This window comes from Homo sapiens, chromosome 4 (assembly GCF_000001405.40).
Source record: "Homo sapiens chromosome 4, GRCh38.p14 Primary Assembly".
NCBI classification, from domain to species: Eukaryota; Metazoa; Chordata; class Mammalia; order Primates; family Hominidae; genus Homo; species Homo sapiens.
Window position 1 is genome coordinate 81149135 of NC_000004.12, and position 22895 is coordinate 81172029.

General features: G+C 37.2%; 1 protein-coding gene and 1 long non-coding RNA gene across 12 annotated transcripts in view, besides 3 other annotated features; one reads left to right on the forward strand and one right to left on the reverse strand.

The window, feature by feature from the left end:
• The window catches only part of PRKG2 (protein kinase cGMP-dependent 2), a 130467-nt gene that overhangs the window by 61765 nt on the left and 45807 nt on the right, over positions 1–22895 (reverse strand). For 7 of the 11 annotated variants that reach the window (XM_017008415.2, XM_017008416.2, XM_047415963.1 and 4 more), the window contains 5 exons: positions 22557–22670; positions 20529–20634; positions 18027–18090; positions 4510–4587; positions 2826–2920 (listed from right to left, as the gene is read on the reverse strand). In XM_017008415.2, the coding sequence (XP_016863904.2) occupies positions 2826–2920; positions 4510–4587; positions 18027–18090; positions 20529–20634; positions 22557–22670 (457 nt within the window). Of the gene's footprint in view, positions 1–2825; positions 2921–4295; positions 4422–4509; positions 4588–4967; positions 5024–18026; positions 18091–20528; positions 20635–22556; positions 22671–22895 lie in introns of those variants that run through there. The other 4 variants (NM_001282482.1, NM_001282483.1, NM_001282481.1 and 1 more) reach the window with 2 other exon arrangements.
• Positions 4330–4844: an enhancer, noted in NCBI's record as "H3K27ac-H3K4me1 hESC enhancer chr4:82074618-82075132 (GRCh37/hg19 assembly coordinates)". NCBI's record gives its function as "activates a minimal SCP1, AML or CMV promoter by ChIP-STARR-seq in primed H9 embryonic stem cells {active_cell/tissue: H9 hESC(primed)}" and the evidence as "EXISTENCE:reporter gene assay evidence [ECO:0000049][PMID:30033119]".
• Positions 4845–5358: an enhancer, noted in NCBI's record as "H3K27ac-H3K4me1 hESC enhancer chr4:82075133-82075646 (GRCh37/hg19 assembly coordinates)". NCBI's record gives its function as "activates a minimal SCP1, AML or CMV promoter by ChIP-STARR-seq in primed H9 embryonic stem cells {active_cell/tissue: H9 hESC(primed)}" and the evidence as "EXISTENCE:reporter gene assay evidence [ECO:0000049][PMID:30033119]".
• Positions 14977–16176: an enhancer, noted in NCBI's record as "P300/CBP strongly-dependent group 1 enhancer chr4:82085265-82086464 (GRCh37/hg19 assembly coordinates)". NCBI's record gives its function as "activates an origin of replication core promoter dependent on BRD2, BRD4, P300/CBP, MED14 and CDK7 cofactors, with strong dependence on P300/CBP, by STARR-seq in HCT116 cells {active_cell/tissue: HCT116}" and the evidence as "EXISTENCE:reporter gene assay evidence [ECO:0000049][PMID:35650434]".
• The window catches only part of PRKG2-AS1 (PRKG2 antisense RNA 1), a 28456-nt gene continuing 21366 nt past the window's right edge, over positions 15806–22895 (forward strand). Inside the window, exon 1 of the long non-coding RNA NR_125908.1 lies at positions 15806–15864. This is a non-coding gene — a long non-coding RNA (PRKG2 antisense RNA 1). The remainder of the gene's footprint in view (positions 15865–22895) is intronic.

Genomic DNA, 22895 nt, shown 5'->3' on the forward strand with positions numbered 1-22895 from the left:
AGGTTATGTACACAAAGAATTCAGAGGAGAAGAAGATAATTGCACTGGGAACAGAGAAGAATAAGTGACTACAAATGTTTATGGAATCTCATTCTGAGCTTTGTGAAAGTCAAAATAAAATAGCTCTCCTCTGATCAAAGGAGAACTATTCACTAACAAGAAGGCAAAACTGAAATTAACTTATCAGAGAAATGTATTGGAAAAACAGTCAAGTAATTAGCATAAGATCAACCAATCATTAATAAAATAAAAAAGTAGTTTCAGTGCCATATCACCCAATTAATTAAATACTAAAATACTTTCATTTCAAAGTGTAAAGTGTATATTTTTCCATTAAAATCTCTGAAATTAGAGCATGTCTTAAAATTGATAAATTGTAGTGTAATTAGCAGCATTTTCTTTTTCTTAGGTGTATATAATATAGCAGTGCATCTTATAATTGACATCTTGCAATTATATATGATCCAATGGTAGCAAATTTAATTACCTAATGAATGCCAGTGGGTATCAGGTAAAGTACTTCTTTACAGACCTTTACTTATATTAGCTTCCTCCCTCTATTAGTTATAAACTAAAAGACACACACACAAAAGGTACATCCACAAGGCACCCAGTGCTCTGAGATTCATTTAAGATGACTTGGGAGTACTAAGCATACCCTGGAGTATGCTTTGGGACTCTTCTAGGCAACTTCATCAAAAATGTTATCGCACAAAGTGTATTTCCTTTGCCTTCTCTTAGTAATGGGACAGGAAAAACACTGGCAGCCCATCTCTACTATTTCAAAGACCCCTATCTACCTAGCTCACATTCTGAGACCTTCTGACATAACTCACTGTCCCTCCCAAGTTTACAGGGTCCTTGTTAGAAGATATCAGTGAAAACACTTCAGTTTCATGGACCTTTGAGACAGCAGCAGGAAAATTTGTGCTTGTATATGTAGAGGTAGAGATAGAGATAGAGATGGTGGATGTAGAGCCAGACAGATCTAGAAATAGACATAAGCATAGACATAGACATAGACACAGACATGATCTTGATTGTAGGCCAACCATTTGATCTGTGAGCTTAGAGAAAGGAAAGGCATATGGTATTCCTTTTGCATGTCAGTATCATGATTTTGACTGAGAATATTCTCTGCAAACATTTTACAAGTATTAGATGTATGCAAATACACTTATGTTTCTTCCATAGTAACTGTGTAAGTGCCATAGATTTATTTTTGCACATAAAATTCTGAAAGAACTCCAGGGACTATTTAATGTCAAGTCATGGAAATATACAGAATATAAGGATTACTGAATCACGGTCAGTGGCCCTAAAATGTGATAGCATTAAAAGGCACAAAAATATAAAAATATTTGTCTCCAACTTTCCTTCTCATTGATTTTAGCTTAATGCTTTCAAACACCTTTAGGAGTTGAGTGTCTATCTTAAACATAAATTCCCATGCTTTTTTTATTGGAAAACACTATAATTGGCTAGCCACAACATATAGCATAAATTATTTCAGGCCCAGCAAAACTGAATAACATATTTTCTTTCAAGAGCTATTTTGACTCTATACTGCATTTATAAAGTGCTGTGCACTTTCAAGCTTCCGTTGTTTTGCTTGAAAGTATGAGAAAATCTGTAAGCGTTAAGAACAAAGACACTGAAGCCCTGGATAATGATATTACATTATTATATTGCATGAATGTATTTATATTCTGTTACAAATAAACACAAAGAATATTAATTTTCCTAATATTGAAACAAGTTCATTACCGGCTATAAAGTGGTAAAGAAGAATTCAGCTTATCTTTAAATCCCACTTTTAAATTGCTACATAATAGCTAAAACTTTATTTTTTTGGTTTTCTTTAAAAACTAAGAGATTTGTGATTTTTAAAGACTCAAATTTGTCTTCAGGTAATATCTGAACACTTTTTCTTTGCTCTGTACTTATGTAAACCTGATCTACAAATCAGCAGAATTGGGGTTTCATAGGCAAAGGTTAAGAAGATAAATGAACAGGAATACTATTCCTTTTCCAAAAGCATACAGTTGAAACAAATGCATTTAATCATATGTAAATTTTAACTGATTTCTTAAATAATTCCAAGTATTAACTTGAAAACATAGATAATTCCAATAAAGTGTGTTGCTCTAACTTTAACTTAATATTTTATAAAGTTATTTATATTTAGGAAAATGCATTTGATCAGACTTGAGGTTTTATGAGTTCCAGGAAATGCAAAGTGTCCCTCGAGCCATTTAATTAACTTTTAAAAATATTTCTTCCATAAATTAGATCAACAGTAAATAAACTCATACCTCAAGACTGAAGGTTGTGGTAAAAATTGCAAATATACTATTTTGAGTTGTTTTTAAAACTTGCAAAACGAGCTGATAAAAATTCTTAAGAAAAATACTTTTGACCTGATGATTTAAAAGCACACAAAATATATAAAATTATTTCGTAATTTTTAAAAAGGTGAAAACTCTAAAGTAGGCAATATTTCAAATGTTGGGAATATAAAGATCTGTATACAAGTGTAATTTTTCCATTTTTAACCTTTTCTCAGACCCTTTTTTGAAACTAAAAAGTTTAATAGAACACCAATTTCATTTTCACTAGCAAACTTAAGATTTTCCAATTATTTCCTCTGCAAATTAGCATACTCATTTCCCGCATAAAAATTTAAGAAATCACTTCAAAATATTTAATATTAGGATATTTGTTGCCATTAACTTGGTAGCTCAATTTAACAACTCTAAATGATTTTATATAAAAAATAGTCGAAGCATTTTATCCAAAGTATGGCATATAATTCATGAATTCACCTGATAAGAGCTTTTTCTCCAAAGTATTCTCCTTTCTGCAGTGTTTTTATCAGCTGTGGTTGATCATGGCCTTCTGTGCTCTGTGTTACTTTTACCTAAACAATGTTAAGCAATACAAACAGAAAGAGACTGAAGAAAAAGGAGAATCTGAACACACATTCATTCAACCAAACCCTCTAGACCTATATAAACTTGGACAAGGAAAAAGACAATACTTTGTTTTAATTTTATGGTAATTAGGACAATTACCTACATTCAGCCCATTTTGATGGATGTGGGAAGTCCTATGGTCTAATATTATCAAATAACTACCCACTGTAAGAGGAAAATTCACCATCTAAACTCCACCTCCTAAAGTTAAATTTTAAATGTGAATCCAGTGATTCCTTCTGAGAGATCCACAAAGCAAATAATAATGGTCTTGTGGGAACTTTTTCTATTTTAAAAAGCCTAATATAGTTGACAAATTAATCAAAAATAAGGTTGAGTATCAGTAGTTCTGAGTCTGGTATCAATAGATTGACTGGCCGAATCCTGTGCACCTCCTAAAACTGAATGCAAAATGTTGATTGAAGAAGGGTCTACAACTTTCATGGGCATCTCAAAGCAATCTGTTGCCCAGAAAGGCTTAAGAACCCCCCACCCAGCAGGGCCAAACAGAAAAAGCCCTGTTTGTGGCTAGAGTTATTCCAATTCAACATGGTAACAAGTGCTGATTCAGGCTGAATAGAAATTCTGTTTGGCATTTATGTATGTCACAATGAATTAAAATTTTAAAAATAAAAAATGCAATTTTTTATCACCAAGAATTATTTCAAAGTATGGGGTCTAGGTTGGGAAAAAATGACAAGAAGTAGTTCCTAGTGTTGAAGAGTTTCAGAGGTTTGAAACTATTTTGTTCATGTTTTTCCTTCACTTGGGGCCAAATTCAAAGTTCAACCACAATCCAGTTTACAAATGGCAGTGCCTGACTCCCTGATGGTAAACCCTTCCATATAACATATGTAAAAATCTGACAGTTTATACACACAGGTGCTCAAGAATTGGCCCTTCCCTTCAATATTTCACAAATGCTTTTCATCTCTGAGTAATACTGTTGAGTCAACATTGGAACAACTGGCAACATGTTATCCATTCAATATCTAGGTAAAGAAAAAGACTTATTGTACATGTTAGTATAAATTTTGCATCAGCATCTAAATTCACTTGAGCTGTTTTGTATCAATTGAAATTCTGAGCCATATTGGTTCTATAAGCCTGATACCTAATCATGACTGTCTTCAATTGCTGAATTCATTCTCCACCTGCTACTTGTCATATCTATTGGATAAGAAAATATTCTAGTACTGATCTTGGAATCTGGGGATGATTGAGAATCACATAGTCATAGCCAGAAGGGACCTTATAAATAATCCAGCCATCTCATATACAATTAAGCTAGGTCTCTCCCCAAAAAATCAAGTGACCTACATAACATCACTAAGAAGTTATTATTTCTTAGGGGGTCCTGTGGCCTCCACTCCAAAGCCAGTGTTCAAACAGAATTGCATGGGACTCTACTGGTAGAAGCTCCTTTATCTGTCCAAAGTGGAGGACCTATGTTGCAATGCAAAGCATAGTTGAGTTTATGGCAAACTGATTTAAAATAATCTTTTTTATTTAGTAAGTTTTAATTAATAGTTACCTTTCCTTTTGCCAAAATGAAAAAGGTACTTCCTTCCTCGCCCTCTCTAATGATGTAATCTCCTTTGTCATAGTATTCCTGTTGGGATGAGAGAGAAAGAAAATGTAAGAGCGGGTGGAGCCAAGATGGCCTAATAGGAACAGCTCCAGTATACAGCTCCCAGCGTGAGCGGCGCAGAAGACGGGTGATTTCTGTATTTCCATCTGAGGTACCGGGTTCATCTCACTAGGGAGTGCCAGACAGTGGGCACAGGTCAGTGGGTGCGCGCACCGTGCGCGAGCCGAAGCAGGGCGAGGCATTGCCTCACTCAGCAAGCACAAGGGGTCAGGGAGTTCCCTTTCCTAGTCAAAGAAAGGGGTGATGGACAGCACCTGGAAAATCGGGTCACTCTCACCCGAATATCGCGCTTTTGGGACGGCCTTAAAAAAACGGCGCACCACGAGATTATATCCCCGCACCTGGCTCGGAGGGTCCTACGCCCACGGAGTCTTGCTGATTGCTAGCACAGCAGTCTGAGATCAAACTGCAAGGCAGCAGCGAGGCTCGGGGAGGGGCGCCCGCCATTGCCCAGGCTTGCTTAGGTAAACAAAGCAGCCAGGAAGCTCAAACTGGGTGGAGCCCGCCACAGCTCAAGGAGGCCTGCCTGCCTCTGTAGGCTCCACCTCTGGGGGCAGGGCACAGACAAACAAAAAGACAGCAGTAACCTCTGCAGATTTAAATGTCCCTGTCTGACAGCTTTGAAGAGAGCAGTGGTTCTCCCAGCACGCAGCTGGAGATCTGAGAACGGGCAGACTGCCTCCTCAAGTGGGTCCCTGACCCTGACCCCCGAGCAGCCTAACTGGGAGGCACCCCCCAGCAGGGGCACACTGACACCTCACACGGCAGGGTACTCCAACAGACCTGCAGCTGAGGGTCCTGTCTGTTAGAAGGAAAACTAACAAACAGAAAGGACATCCACAGCAAAAACCCATCTGTACATCACCATCATCAAAGACCAAAAGTACATAAAACCACAAAGATGGGGAAAAAACAGAGCAGAAAAACTAGAAACTCTAAAAAGCAGAGCGCCTCTCCTCCTCCAAAGGAACGCAGTTCCTCACTAGCAACAGAACAAAGCTGGACGGAGAATGACTTTGACGAGCTGCGAGAAGAAGGCTTCAGACGATCAAATTACTCTGAGCTACGGGAGGACATTTAAACCAAAGGCAAAGAAGTTGAAAACTTTGAAAAAAATTTAGAAGAATGTATAGGCCGGGCGCGGTGGCTCACGCCTGTAATCCCAGCACTTTGGGAGGCCGAGGCGGGCAGATCACGAGGTCAGGAGATCGAGACCATCCCGGCTAACACGGTGAAACCCCGTCTCTACTAAAAATACAAAAAAAAAATTAGCCGGGCGTAGTGGCGGGCGCCTGTAGTCCCAGCTACTTGGGAGGCTGAGGCAGGAGAATGGCGTGAACCCGGGAGGCGGAGCTTGCAGTGAGCCGAGATCCCGCCACTGCACTCCAGCCTGGGCGACAGAGCGAGACTCCGTCTCAAAAAAAAAAAAAAGAAGAATGTATAACTAGGATAACCAATACAGAAAAGTGCTTAAAGGAGCTGATGGAGCTGAAAACCAAGGCTCGAGAACTACGTGAAGAATGCAGAAGCCTCAGGAGCCGATGCGATCAGCTGGAAGAAAGGGTATCAGCAATGGAAGATGAAATGAATGAAATGAAGCGAGAAGGGAAGTTTAGAGAAAAAAGATAAAAAGAAACGAGCAAAGCCTCCAAGAAATATGGGACTATGTGAAAAGACCAAATCTACGTCTGATTGGTGTACCTGAAAGTGATGGGGAGAACGGAACCAAGTTGGAAAACACTCTGCAGGATATTATCCAGGAGAACTTCCCCAATCTAGCAAGGCAGGCCAACATTCAGATTCAGGAAATACAGAGAACGCCACAAAGATACTCCTCGAGAAGAGCAACACCAAGACACATAATTGTCAGATTCACCAAAGTTGAAATGAAGGAAAAAATGTTAAGGGCAGCCAGAGAGAAAGGTCGGGTTACCCTCAAAGGGAAGCCCATCAGACTAACAGCAGATCTCTCGGCAGAAACTCTACAAGCCAGAAGAGAGTGGGGGCCAATATTCAACATTCTTAAAGAAAAGAATTTTCAACCCAGAATTTCATATCCAGCCAAACTAAGCTTCATAAGTGAAGGAGAAATAAAATCCTTTACAGACAAGCAAATGCTGAGAGATTTCATCACCACCAGGCCTGCCCTAAAAGAGCTCCTGAAGGAAGCACTAAACATGGAAAGGAACAACCGGTACCAGCCACTGCAAAATCATGCCAAAATGTAAAGACCATCGAGACTAGGAAGAAACTGTATCAACTAACGAGCAAAATAACCAGCTAACATCATAATGACAGGATCAAATTCACACATAACAATGTTAACTTTAAACGTAAATGGACTAAATGCTCCAATTAAAAGACACAGACTGGCAAATTGGATAAAGAGTCAAGACCCATTAGTGTGCTGTATTCAGGAAACCCATCTCACAGGCAGAGACACACATAGGCTCAAAATAAAAGGATGGAGGAAGATCTACCAAGCAAATGGAAAACAAAAAAAGGCAGGGGTTGCAATCCTAGTCTCTGATAAAACAGACTTTAAACCGACAAAGATCAAAAGAGACAAAGAAGGCCATTATTTAATGGTAAAGGGATCAATTCAGCAAGAAGAGCTAACTATCCTAAATATATATGCACCCAATACAGGAGCACCCAGATTCATAAAGCAAGTCCTGAATGACCTGCAAAGAGACTTAGACTCCCACACATTAATAATGGGAGACTTTAACACCCCACCGTCAACATTAGACAGATCAACGAGACAGAAAGTCAACAAGAATACCCAGGAATTGAACTCAGCTCTGCACCAAGCTGACCTAATAGACATCTACAGAACTCTCCACCCCAAATCAACAGAATATACATTTTTTTCAGCACCACGCCACACCTACTCCAAAATTGACCACATACTTGGAAGTAAAGCTCTCCTCAGCAAATGTAAAAGAACAGAAATTATAACAAACTATCTCTCAGACCACAGTGCAATCAAACTAGAACTCAGGATTAAGAATCTCACTCAAAACCGCCAACTACATGGAAACTGAACAACCTGCTCCTGAATGACTACTGGGTACATAACGAAATGAAGGCAGAAATAAAGATGTTCTTTGAAACCAACAAGAACAAAGACACAGCATACCAGAATCTCTGGGATGCATTCAAAGCAGTGTGTAGAGGGAAATTTATAGCACTAAATGCCCACAAGAGAAAGCAGGAAAGATCCAAAATTGACACCCTAACATCACAATTAAAAGAACTAGAAAAGCAAGAGCAAACACATTCAAAGGCTAGCAGAAGGCAAAAAATAACTAAAATCAGAGCAGAACTGAAGGAAATAGAGATACAAAAAACCCTTCCAAAAATTAACGAATCCAGGAGCTGGTTTTTTGAAAGGATCAACAAAATTGATAGACCACTAGCAAGATTAATAAAGAAAAAAAGAGAGAAGAATCAAATAGATGCAATAAAAAATGATAAAGGGGATATCACCACCGATCCCACAGAAATACAAACTACCATCAGAGAATACTACAAACACCTCTACGCAAATAAACTAGAAAATCTAGAAGAAATGGATAAATTCCTCAATACATACACTCTCCCAAGACTAAACCAGGAAGAAGTTGAATCTCTGAATAGACCAATAACAGGAGCTGAAATTGTGGCAATAATCAACAGCTTACCAACAAAAAAGAGTCCAGGACCAGATGGATTCACAGCCGAATTCTACCAGAGGTACAAGGAGGAACTGGTACCATTCCTTCTGAAACTATTCCAGTCCATAGAAAAAGAGGGAATCCTCCCTAACTCATTTTATGAGGCCAGCATCATCCTGATACCAAAGCCGGGCAGAGACACAACCAAAAAAGAGAATTTTAGACCAATATCCTTGAAGAACATTGATGCAAAAATCCTCAATAAAATACTGGCAAACCGAATCCAGCAGCACATCAAAAAGCTTATCCACATGATCAACTGGGCTTCATCCCTGGGATGCAAGGCTGGTTCAATATACACAAATCAATAGATGTAATCCAGCATATAAACAGAACCAAAGACAAAAACCACATGATTATCTCAATAGATGCAGAAAAGGCCTTTGACAAAATTCAACAACGCTTCACGCTAAAAACTCTCAATAAATTAGGTATTGATGGGACGTATCTCAAAATAATAAGAGCTATCTATGACAAACCCACAGCCAATATCATACTGAATGGGCAAAAACTGGAAGCATTCCCTTTGAAAACTGGCACAAGACACGGATGCCCTCTCTCACCACTCCTATTCAACATAGTGTTGGAAGTTCTGGCCAGGGCAATTAGGCAGGAGAAGGAAATAAAGGGTATTCAATTAGGAAAAGAGGAAGTCAAATTGTCCCTGTTTGCAGACGATATGATTGTATATCTAGAAAACCCCATTGTCTCAGCCCAAAATCTCCTTAAGCTGATAAGCAACTTCAGCAAAGTCTCAGGATACAAAATCAATGTACAAAAATCACAAGCATTCTTATACACCAACAACAGACAAACAGAGAGCCAAATTATGAGTGAACTCCCATTCACAATTGCTTCAAAGAGAATAAAATACCTAGGAATCCAACTTACAAGGCATGTGAAGGACCTCTTCAAGGAGAACTACAAACCTTCAAGGAGAACTACAAACCACTGCTCAAGGAAATAAAAGAGGATACAAACAAATGGAACATTCCATGCTCATGGGTAGGAAGAATCAATATCGTGAAAATGGCCATACTGCCCAAGGTAATTTGCAGATTCAATGCCATCCCCATCAAGCTACCAATGACTTTCTTCACAGATTTGGAAAAAACTACTTTAAACTTCATATGGAACCAAAAAAGAGCCCGCATCACCAAGTCAATCCTGAGCCAAAAGAACAAAGCTGGAGGCATCACACTACCTGACTTCAAACTATACTACAAGGCTATAGTAACCAAAACAGCATGGTGCTGGTACCAAAACAGAGATATAGATCAATGGAACAGAATAGAGCCCTCAGAAATAACGTCACATATCTACAACCATCTGATCTTTGAGAAACCTGAGAAAAACAAGCAATGGGGAAAGGATTCCCTATTTACTAAATGGTGCTGGGAAAACTGGCTAGCCATATGTAGAAAGCTGAAACTGGATCCCTTCCTTAATCCCTTCCTTACACCTTATACAAAAATCAATTCAAGATGGATTAAAGACTTAAACGTTAGACCTAAAACCATAAAAACCCTAGAAGAAAACCTAGGCATTACCATTCGGGACATAGGCATGGGCAAGGACTTCATGTCTAAAACACCAAAAGCAATGGCAACAAAAGCCAAAATTGACAAATGGGATCTAATTCAACTAAAGAGCTTCTGCATAGCAAAAGAAACTACCATCAGGGTGAACAGGCAACCTACAAAATGGGAGAAAATTTTTGCAACCTACTCATCTGACACAGGGCTAATTTCCAGAATCTACAATGAACTCAAACAAATTTACAAGAAAAAAAAACAACCCCATCAAAAAGTGGGCAACGGATATGAACAGACACTTCTCAAAAGAAGACATTTATGCAGCCAAAAGACACATGAAAAAATGCTCATCATCACTGGCCATCAGAGAAATGCAAATCAAAACCACAATGAGATACCATTTCACACCAGTTAGAATGGCAATCATTAAAAAGTCAAGAAACAACAGGTGCTGGAGAGGATGTGGAGAAATAGGAACACTTTTACACTGTTGGTGGGACTGTAAACTAGTTCAACCATTGTGGAAGTCAGTGTGGCGATTCCTCAGGGATCTAGAACTAGAAATACCATTTGACCCAGCCATCCTATTACTGTGTATATACCCAAAGGACTATAAATCATGCTGCTATAAAGACACATGCACACGTATGTTTATTGTGGCACTATTCACAATAGCAAAGACTTAGAACCAACCCAAATGTCCAACAATGATAGACTGGATTAAGAAAATGTGGCACATATACACCATGGAATACTATGCAGCCATAAAAAATGATGAGTTCATGTCCTTTGTAGGGACATGGATGAAATTGGAAATCATCATTCTCAGTAAACTATTGCAAGAACAAAAAACTAAACACCGCATATTCTCACTCATAGATGGGAATTGAACAATGAGAACACATGGACACAGGAAGGGGAACATCACACTCTGGGGACCATTGTGGGGTGGGGGGAGGGGGGAGGGAGAGCATTGGGAGATATACCTAATGCTAGATGACGAATTAGTGGGTGCAGCGCACCAGCATGGCACATGTATACATATGTAACTGACCTGCACATTGTGCACATGTACCCTAAAACTTAAAGTATAATAATAATAAAAAATAAATAAATAAATAAAAAGATAATGTAAGATCAAGTGGAGACACATAATTGAAGACATAAAGAAAGCAGAACTCCTTTTGTCTTTGAAATGAGTATTACACACCTGTTTTAGCATTTGTTTGGTTGTTGTTTTTGCCTATTGAAACTGTAAGCTTTTCTTACATTGCAGTCATAAACTGTAGAAAAGTAAGGAGACTTTTGCTTTATTATCTGCACTTATGTTTTCTTCTTTCACAGAGTAAATTCACCTGGAATACTGAATTTCAGGCATGGGGTCCAAAGATATAAAGAGAAATGAGAGCCAGGCAACAATCACCAGCTTTCACCTGCATAATCTAAATATAAACTGTTTGGTGATCAGCAACATTCTAAAAATTGAGTCTGGGCTCTAGAAAAAGAACAAGTGATTATATAATATCCCCAATGGATATTAGGAAAATTACCCTTAATTTCTAATTCCTTGAAAAGCAACCTCTTGGAAGATTCTACATTCACAGTAGGTAGTGCTGTCATAATGCAATATCCAAAGATTTGTCATCATAAAACATTGACATTGGAAATTTTTATGTGTAAATTCTATTATTTAATTTAGATCTATCCTCATGAAATCTTAAATTATTGCATATTTCTTTTTATTTATTAACATCTGTTTCTCTTGTAAATATTTATGTGATTAGAAAATTCTTGAGGAGGGAAAAGTAATCTATCCACCTGTCAGACCAAAAGAGCGACTAAATATCTCAGAAAACAAAGGATAGATTAAACTGTCCACCTCTACTTTGCTTTAATTTGATCTTGTCTTAAAGTCACAGAACTAAGATGGATCTCTTAATTATTTATACAAACAAAAGTGGCTTCTTTAATTTTTAAAAAGGCATAACTAACCACATAATTGCTCTCTCTTGTTTTTCTTTTAGACTTGAAAATAAATTCCAAACTAAACTACTTTTTTATCTGTTGTTTTTCAATACTTTCTTGATCATTTATTCTTAAAACCTATTTACTTTTCTGGAATAAATGTTACTCCTAATACTAACAAACATGCGTTTTATTTTCATAACACTATGTACATTTTATAAGATATGTCAATATCTCATGGAAGGAAGCATAATATTTTTGGAGTTAAAAAGTTCTTTGAAGCCAGACAGGTCTATATTCAAATCCCAGTTTACAAGAAATTTACTTTCCTCAACCCATAAAATTAAAGTAACAACCCATATCTTCAAAGATTTAGGAAAGCGCATTAGTTCTCTATTGCTGCTGTAACAACCAAAAACTTGGTGGCTTAGAGCCACATCCTTTTATTATTTACAGTTTCCGTGAGTCAGAAAGCCTAGGCACAGTGTTGCTCAATTAGGTTTCTCAGTTAGGGTCTCTCAGGATGGAGCTCAAGGTATCAATAGGGCTTATGTCATTCTGGAAGCTCAGGGGAAAATTCATTTTCAAGGTCATTCAGGTTGCTGGAAGGATTCACCTGCAGGATAAGATCCCATTTCCTTACTGACTGACAGTGGGAACTGCTCATGAGGTCTCTCCCATCCCTGCAGAGAGCCCCCTCCATCTCAGAACCAGTGATGGCATGTTCATTTCTTACCCTCAGAGTCTCTCTGGATTTCACTTCTGCTGCATCTCTCTGACCCCAACCAGAAATAATTCTATGCTCATGCAACTATATTCAATAGTTCATTCACCTAGCCAATTAATGATAATCTATTTTAAAGTCCCAAACTTTAAGCATACCATTAAAGTCCCTTTTGCCATGTAATATAACATATTCATACATTCCAGGGATTAGAATCTGGATATCTGGAAGGGGGGGTGGGGCAGGGGACCATTCTGCCTACCACAATAAGCCAATGAAAGGCAATGTTGCCTGAAATAGTAGGAGCATCTAAAATATAGTAAATGCACAATTAATTGTTGCCATGCTAAGAAGGAGGATGATAATGATTTGCTCAGCTGTTTCCTACATCTTCTGGACCTCTGTTTCATTTTCTGTAAAATTAAGATTATATTTACTACTACACCTAATGTTGTTTGAGGACTAGTTAAGACGGTGTATCTAAAGTACCTGATGGAATGTTTAGTGCACACCAGGTACCCGGTGACTGTTAATCTTACGAAAGAGGCTGTAAGCTGGTCACGAAAGTCTTCCAGAGGAATATATGATTGTCCAGGTAAGTTACACTTGCCAGCCTTCCTGCTGTTAGCTATGGCCATGTGATGAACTTTTATCTAAAATAATCTGAGTGGAAGTGATCTGTGACAATTCCACACCAAGCCCATGCATGCTTTCATGCATGTGTCTTTATACTTTTTCCCCAATTATAATGGCATGGCCCACACAAACCTGGAAAACCACATGTTGAAAATGGCAGAGTAGACATCAGCTTGGATTCCCAAATGACTGTGTGGAGCCAATTGGGACTATCTTTCCTGGACAGTTATGTTAACGAGTGACAAACTTCTGTTTTATTTAAGCAATGATATTTGGCGTGTCTTTGCCTCATAGTTTGCTTACTCAAACCCTTCATCCCTTCCCAATTTTAGCTTTATCACAAACCTTGACTATATGCAGTGTGATTTTGCAGTGGAGATGACTATGACCCTTATAGGATGATCCTGATCCCCCACACAGTCCAGCTGTCTTCACCACATAGCTAACATTCAATGTTCTTTGCTATAGCTGCGGGGATTGTGTTCGAAGTTCCTATTTCAGACAGTCTGCTCTTCAAGCTCTCCTGTTCCCATCACAATTTCAGTCCTCATTACCCACATGGAGCAGAAGAAACACAGAGAATTTCTGAAGTGCTGTTAGGCTGTTCTTCAGTTATTATGAAGCCTTTGATGTGTGCAGAGGTGTGGCTTTAATTCCTAACAACCGAATAACTTCAAAGGGGGAAAAGCTTGAAAGGGGATACTGAGGAAGACCTTTGTTATTTTTTAAGGGACAACCTTCCTAGTGGTATTTTTCTCCACGGATGATTCTTTGTCACCCAAAACCATGGGAGGAAGATAAATAATACCTCCCAGTGTGTTGACAGTAACTTCATAGATCAGAAAAGGCTGTGGAAATAGGTCAGACCAAAAATATATAGTGGTAAGTACTGACTGTGATGCTAGACTGCCCAGTGTTTGCCAACTGGGGAGTGCAACCAGTCAAGCCAGGGTGGTCACTGAGACCAAAAAGAGAAATGCAAATAGTGTGGTTATTGTCCTTGTGGTTACATTGCAAAGGTGTCCCTTAGAGGACCAAGAAGCCATAGACCCTATCCTGCAGAGCAATGGTTTTCAAGCATGTTTTAATTCTGACCAACAGTAAGAAATACATTCTGCATGTACTCCCAATACACACACAAGAGCAGGTACACATATTTATACAAAATTGAAACATTTTTCAAAATAATACTTATACTTACTATTCTGATTTTTTAAATGTTCCTCTAAATTGGTTTCATAACCTGGTAATGAGTTGTAGCCCATTTTTACTGTAAACAAAATGTTCATTCTGTGATAATCTAGCAAAATGCTAGAGCCTGAGTACCTGTAAATACAATATATAAAACCAGAAGGAAATTCCAAAGTGACAGAGGACAAAGAAAATGAAGGAAGGCAATGACTTCCTTAGAGCCTTTAATTTGCAGCTACAAATCTTCTTTATAAGTATCTTGCAAAAAGCAAATGAAATCCTCATTAAAAAGAAGTATTGGAAGTACTGATGATATACAACCAGATGTATAGTACACACACACACACACACACACACACACACACACACACACCTCTGTGCATTATGTGACTATGTACCAAGTGTGTCGGTTAAAAAATTGTTTACAGTTAGTTATTTATGTTGTTACTAGTTAATCTTTGTTTTCCAAGTACAAGAGTTTAGAACACCTCAGAAGTTTTAAGGCAAGCACACCTGGATCAGGTGGGCCCAGTCAGCCATTCGGGCATGTAGCACCTGATTGGTTATTTTCAAAGAACCAGATACTACAAAATGAAAAACAACAGAAGTTATTTCTATTTGGGTGAGCCAATCATATAGAATTCTATGATTTAAATGTTGAAAGAGCTCATAGAGATATGGCCCACCACTCCATTATTTTGTAGATGAAGAGATGATATGCTAAAGCCTACCACAATTCATTGACAGCTGGTAGAGTGACAGAGGCAGAACCACAAGCCCTAATCTCCAGACTTTGGACTAGTGAACTTTGTACAACACCTGGCTGCCCCACCTTTAGCTCAATGGTTCATAAACTGTAGCGAAATCTACAATTATTTCAACTTTCTTATGGCTCTGGATTTAACCGTTAGGATGACAGGAAAAAAAAAAATCCTGGTTTATGCGAGTGTTGGTAAGGACTACAAGAAAGACTAGACTTGAAAAAAGTGATTAAAATGGAAAATTCCCAAAGAAAGAGGCAGACGGTTGCAAACTCTAAACATTCATAACTAAACCAGTGCTTCTTAGACTTTAATAAGCATAAAAATCCCACCATTAGAGTGTTAGGTGTGGATCTGGGGGCCCCAACTTGAGTTTCCGATTCAGTAAGTGTGGGGTGGTGCCTGGGAATATGCCTTCTCATCGGCACCACAGGCAATCTGACTAAGGGCAAAGGTGCTCCACACTACACCCTCATCCCAGCCTCAAACACCTCAGCTTTGTGAAAGATGGCAGGTTAGAGTCACAGTGCAAAAGGCCACTGGATCAAATACCAAAGCACTGTGACTAACAGGTGACTTTATGATGAATCACAATGTTTGTAGTTCAGGAGGATGTCACAGTCAAATCTCATGCTTAGTGGATTCATCACCATGTGTGGGGGCAGAAACTACTTCCACTCTTACCTTCCATACTGCATAACTGCCAGGTACGTAAGTCATATTATTATTTTCATTGTCGTTAATCTGTACACTCCGTTCTGAATCTATATCATGCTTTACAGTTCTCATTAGTTAACTCTTAATGAACTCTAGTATGTTGGTGTTATTCCCACCCTCGTTTTCTTATCAGAACACAAGAAGAGGCTTAAAGGCAATGGCTGCCTCTATAAATGTTCTGAGTGATTTAAGCTAAAGCAAGAAATGCCATTGGAACATTGCACAATCAGGGCCATTTGTTCTAGGAGTTCAACCGTCTAAGTTTCAACAAATACATCAGATCAATTACTTGGTGATGGGAAATTCTGATTCTCCCTTCCTTACCCCCTGCTACATGCAAAACTCCCAAATCAACTCCTAAACTGCATGACAGATTTAGCCTGTTTTTTTCAAAGATTATGGGGACAGTTTGTGGGACAGCTGGTCCTAGAACTCTGGACACTGTCAAAAATGATGCAGTAGTGATTGGCTGTTGTCAGGACCAAGTTGATGGGTCATTAGTCCAAGCTATGCTGGTAAATCACATGCATTTCTTAGCGCTAAATAGATCCCATTACTCTCGTTAATCACTTTCACATTTGAGAATTTTCACACATCACAGAGACACATTTGTTTGCCAGGTATGAATAAAGAGTCCTTTATAAACTGTGCTGCTGTCTGCAAATGCTGAGATACAGCAAATCCTTTCCAGGGTGTTTGAAAAGATGAGTTTTTCAAATTTGAATTGTGTGTTAATTATTACTGGATTTGAGCCCCCATCTATATATTCTGTAGCAATTGCCTGTGGCTGCTATAAATACGTCTAATTTACCATTTATTTTTAATGATACTAAATTTTCATATTTGCTGTCAACATAGAAATCCCCTCTGGTGAATCTACTCTATTAGTATTATATTAAAAACAGATTTCCTTGGTTAACAAAAAAAACTAGGGCCTCTCCAGCTTTAAGTAAAAAAAAAAACACCCTTAGAAATTAGGATGAATTATTAATTTGTAACATCTGTGACTGGGTTATGTTACAATGGGAGACTCTCCAGAGATGCAGGCTAAGCAATCTTCTTGAAAATGACTTCATATCTGAACCCCCTGGGGCCACACGGCCAGGCACTGTGTCATCATGGTCTGTCCTTGATAAACTGCTGGATGGGTTGCATGAATTGTAAATGGAAACACTGCTGGTGTCACTTACACTTAAGGATAAAATGGTCCCTACTCCCTGCTTGACAGATATTAGTTACATTGTATATTGTGATTGACAGAGGCATGAATCTGTCAACAATCAGCCTTGCAGGGTTTTGGGGGTTTTTTTTCCTCCCACTGAGAACAGCTTTATAAAAGCTTAAATTCTATATGTGACTCCTTTACTATTCCTTACCTCCTTTAAATTCCATAAAGCCATCTGGGTTTCAATGAAATTGACCCCCCAAAAAGTTAAAGAACGTATTTGCTTTGAATTTTAATTCTCTGAAATCTGAAGACGTTTTCACAAAATGCATATCGTTAGAATCCAAGGTACATGTCGTAAAAGCATTATTCATGAAAAGACTTGACTCGTCTTGGACTAGAACCAACCATCTGGGTGATGCCTAAAATGAGTTTTTGAACACATTCCAATATGCCGTTTCCCCCTAGATGTTAAAATAGATAAAGTGCTTCTTAAATACAGTTTTTAAAATGTGTTTTTTGTGGCCTAGAGTGTTCAAGTAGAAAGTGTTTCACAGCCTGACTCAGAGGCTTGCCACCAAAAGGACCAACATACCCTTTCTCTGCTCCATTTCTTAATTATACATCAGTGACTCCTTTATACTATGAAAACTCTGTAGGGGATTGTGATGTTAATTGTAGAAAATCAAATGCTTCTTGAGTAAGGCAGGTTTGTTTTATAAGATATACTAAAAAGATTAAAATATGTAAATCAAATTTCACTTTACACATGCAAATCCAATTTCCTTTTATACATCTGAAGAGTTTAAACCTTTCTCCACCCCTTAACACAGCATGAGTTGGCTTAAGATTTTTCACCATAGAAAAAGGCTCTTGGTCTCTGTAGACTGGTGCTCTGACATCTTTTTATTTATTTATGGTGTTAATAATATAAGTACATTCTAATATCTTCTAATGAAATTTATTTTTTACTTCAAAATTTCTTACCACTTCCAAGCAGTCAATGATCTTGGTTAATTTATCTTCAGGTAAATTCTTCAGCAAGGATACACTTCAAAATTAAAAAGAAACCTTCAATTACCTTCCTGAATTAAACTATAAATATACACATATGCAGATTCTAAAATCTTTACATACATTTTAAAAAATATAATGCACTTTGATTCTTCCAAAGTAAATGTCCAAATAACTGAAAACACATCAATAACTGAATTTCATATACACTGGAAATTATAGATATATAATCACAGACATGTGCCACAGGCAAACAAATGAAAATAGTAAGATACCAGACAGGGGGAAAAAAATCACATTTTGTCTATTTGGTAAAAATAAATTTACATTTGTTGTTGGTTTTCACAGTGAATCGCATTTGGAAGTTTGTTCCTCTCTACTTCTCAATATCTGTTTTATTAGTTTGTGCGAGGAGCTCTGCTTCCAGTGGAGAATCAGATTTTTGTCTAAATCCTTATAATTAAGTAAGGACTGAATCCGGGGTTGGGAGGGAACATGGGAATTGACATTGAAATGATCTCTGATTATTAGTCATACTGTACTGTCTTTTAAAATTAATGATAGCCAGAGGCATGGATGAACTTCAAAAATAACTAAATCAAGCTACAGGCAAAATTATAAACAACACCAAGGGAATGATCACTAAACTTCAGAACGCAGATACTCTCAAGGAGAAGAGGAGGAAGAGGCTGGAAAGAACATGGGGAAATACATAAGAACTTCAACAACTGCTTTCTCTTCCCTAGGTTGGGCAGTAGCTTCACGGGTGTTCATTTTGTTATGATGTCTTATAACTTACATATGTACTATATATCACATAGAATATCACATACTTCATAATAAAAAATGTAAATAAAAAAAATACTGTATATTATGAAACAAAGAGAAATGTATTCCCCTAATATATCTCACTATAGATGAAATGGTAAAAGAGTCATCAGAACTTGTTATTAACACAGGCTATCATGAAAGTTTTACTTCTGGTCCAAACAGGCATCTATAACATTAGTGAAAATTAACTGTTATAAACCTAGCACCTTTGGAGGTTGGTGGCAAAAGAGATATAAGAAAAAATATTTTCTCTGTCTCCCCTCTCTGAAGGCAAGAATCAGGTTTATCTTGTTAACCACTAAATCAACAATATTTAGTGCCTGCTAATAAGTATTAGTTGAATGAAGGAAACAACAAAAGGAGGGAAGGAAAGAATGAATATTCACTAGTAGATTATCCGAGCTTTTTCCACTAAGAACATACTAGACTCCAAGGTAATTAACTGCTATGCCTAGTTCACGTTTTATCTCAGACATTCAAATACAACCCAGGCACACTGGTTTTTTTAGGTACCTCTTTTTGGCCCTTACGTAAGTGTGGCTTATCAGCTTTAAATGCTAACCTATGTTGCTCAGTTGGTGGATTTTGAGATCACCTAGATTCAAGTGGGCCCCACAATATGATAGCTAATGCATTGGCTGGCATATAGATAGAGAACCTGCTTGTCATTATTGCAGCTCTCTGCCAGGAGACATTATTGTCTCTGGGAGGACAAATCAGTAAGATTCTAGATGAGAAATCTCATTCAATGTTTATTGAGCCTACACTATAAGCTAAGCACTATATGGCCCTAAAATCATTAGCTTTGAAGGATTCTCATGCTAGAAAAAATTACCATAAGAACTTATAATTTATTTTTGGAAATAATGTGATATATTATTATTAATATTATTATTACATATCATAGATAACATTTCATTATAGAATGTATTGCAGCTTCAGAAACTTGCAAAACTCCCATTAAAGATACAGAAATTGTTTAAATAAATAACTTATACTTCCAAATAAAGTTTTAATGTGAGACTAGTTTTTTTCACTTACACAGACATTTATTTCCTTATAAATTGATTCATCCAAGGTGTTGAGGTACAGAATAGTTCACAAAATGAGTGTGTTCCAAGTCCCTGTCATCATGACAAGTATAGTAACATTTTTAGCAAGTCAATTTGCTACAAATAATAGTAATTTGGAAGATGGCGTGACTATGCAAATAAGAAAGTCTCAGGTAAAGCAAATAAGCATAGTAAATTTAATTAATTTTAATACCATTCTAAGCAAAGTACTTTTAGAAAGCTTGTCTTTTGGCTAACCACTTTCAAATTTCAAATGCCTTTCAAAGCCAACTGAGCAACCCAATTAATAATTTAGGTTTTTTGCACATTTTTCTATGCTGTGCACTATCACTCTATCAATACAAGGGCAAAAACTAGCAGGAGAAATAAATGAGTATACAAGGATAATAGAAATTAAATACAGTTTTTGGTATGTACTGGCATTTACTGCAAGCAATGTTCCTTTGGTTTAGTCATGTGGAAAATGCTTAAATGGAAGTAGCTATAGTTGAATAATTATTCTGATAAAACCAATATATTCACAATATGGCGACTCCACTGTCTTCACTGTCTCCCAATGTATTATTCTTACCTTCTGAGGAAGTTTCTGTATTGTTCATCTCTAGCTTGGGCTGTCCTCCTCATTATATTCTGGAATACCTCTCGATCTAGTGCCCATGTTTTAACATTGGTAATAGCTTTAGAAAATTCAAGAAAACAATAAAACACTTAGTACAACATTGTGAAAACATTCCAAAATATAAATCGATGGATTTGTTATATGTTCTTATAAAATGGTACTTCTTGGAAAATGTATTATTTAAACATACAAATGAAGGAGACAGAAAAATAAATAGTGAGCAATTTTATAAATCATTTTGGCTTTGAAATACACTATTATTTGGAAATGACTAGCAAAAAATTTCCTTTCTAATTATGTTACAGTTAGGATGATATTCAAATTAGTTTGCAATTCCCAATTATGCACTAGATCATCAGGATGTGCTCTAGATTTCTGCTGTAATACAAGAGAAAGGCAGTCAATTTGTAGCTAATCTGGAGAGTGAAGTCACAAACAGATAATTGAAAGTTAAAGCTATCTGTGTGTATGTGTGTGTTTTTATGTGTCTTTTTATGTTGTTCTGACACTGTTGCTAAAGAAGCTACATATTATTTAAGAATCTCTACAGTTACTTTTGTGTAAAATGCCTACAAATTATTTGAAAGAGACTATGAAAGAAAGTTTTTGAGATAATTTTTTTTTACAGTAAAGACTTAAGGGCAAGTATAAAATTTAAAAAGAAAGTGGGCCAGAAGTGGTGGCTCTAAAAAATCTAGATGAAATTGTGGTTGTACAATTTTTTAAAAACGAGTAACAAAGCCTCTAAAATTGATCAAAACCCAAAGCTCTGGATTACCAAACTTTACATTGGAATCATCTTGATATTCTTGTTAGAAATACAAGATCCCTGGGCTCCATTGCCAGAGACTCTGATTCAGGTTGGGAGTAGAGACCCAAAATCTGCATTTTTATCAAATACCTCAGCAAGGCTAACACATATAAACTAGTCCCAAACACTGAAAAACATCATATCTATGTAATTCAGAAGGAAACCCAAGATTGCCATAAAGTCAATAAAACAAATCTAAAGAAAAGCAAGTAAAGTAATCCCAAAAGTCATTCATGAATACTCTAATTACTCTAATTCATATTCCTTTTGATATAGATACATTTTCATTGGTTTAATTAATTTCTCTGGCTTATAATATGGTCAGAACCTCGTTGAGACTAGCTAGAAAGCAAACATTCTAGATGAGCCAAAGGCATGTGTCTATGTAGTAAAAAGTAAAGTGGCAATTAAAGCAAATATGGAATCAGTCAGCTTAAAGCCATTGTTTTTGGCAGAACAAACCTTTTTATTTTTATTTTTATTTTTAATTTAATTTAATTTTAATTTCCAGGATACACATGCAAGACATGCAGGTTTGTTTCATAGATAAACGTGTGCTGTGGTGCTTTGCTGCAACTATCAACTTAACACCTAGGTATTTAGCCCCGCATACATCAGCTATTTATCCTGATGCTCTCCCTCCCCCACCCCTCCCCATTGGGCTCCAGTGTGTGTTGTTCCCCTCCCTGTGTCCATGTGTTCTCATTGTCCAACGCCCACTTATAAGTAAGAACATGCAGTGTTTGCTTTTCTGTTCCTGTGTTAGTTTGCTGAGGATAATGGCTTCCAGCTCCATCTATGTCCCTGCAAAGGACATAATCTTGTTCCTTTTTATGGCTGTGTAGCATTCCATAATGTATACATACCACATTTTCTTTACCCAGTCTATCACTGATGGTCATTTGGATTGATTCCATGTCTTTACCGTTGTGAATAGTTAAAAGCCATTTTACATTTTATACACAGGTATCCAGAAAAGTTCTTTTTAGCTTAAATTATATAGGTAAGTGCTTCAGTATAAATCCCTTAATAGGCATAGCATTTCTATTATAAGAACATATAGGGTAAAATGGGAAACAGACTGTGGATCAGGGTGCAAATGTGACTGGACTAGATTATCTTTAACATGCCACAACAATTCAAAGATGGAGCATTTCCTCTTTTATTACCTTTCACAGAGGCAGTCCTTGTACAATTGTATAAAATGGCAAGCTCCCCAAATGTGGTCCACATAGGGATGGAGGACAGCAATTTCTCCCCTTGGAACACCTCTAGTCGACCCTCTATCAAGCAGAATTTTAAAAAACACACACACAAATAATCGAAATCCGTGTAGATACTATAAATTAGTAAAATAAAACAATCATAAAGCACACAAAGTATACAGGTAAGATATTTTATGATTCTCATTATAATACACCAGTTAAAAGTGTAGACTGAAATCACCTCTGCCACTTACTATTAGCTGGGTTGCCTTGAGAAACTTACGCTATCTGTCTGAAGTTCCT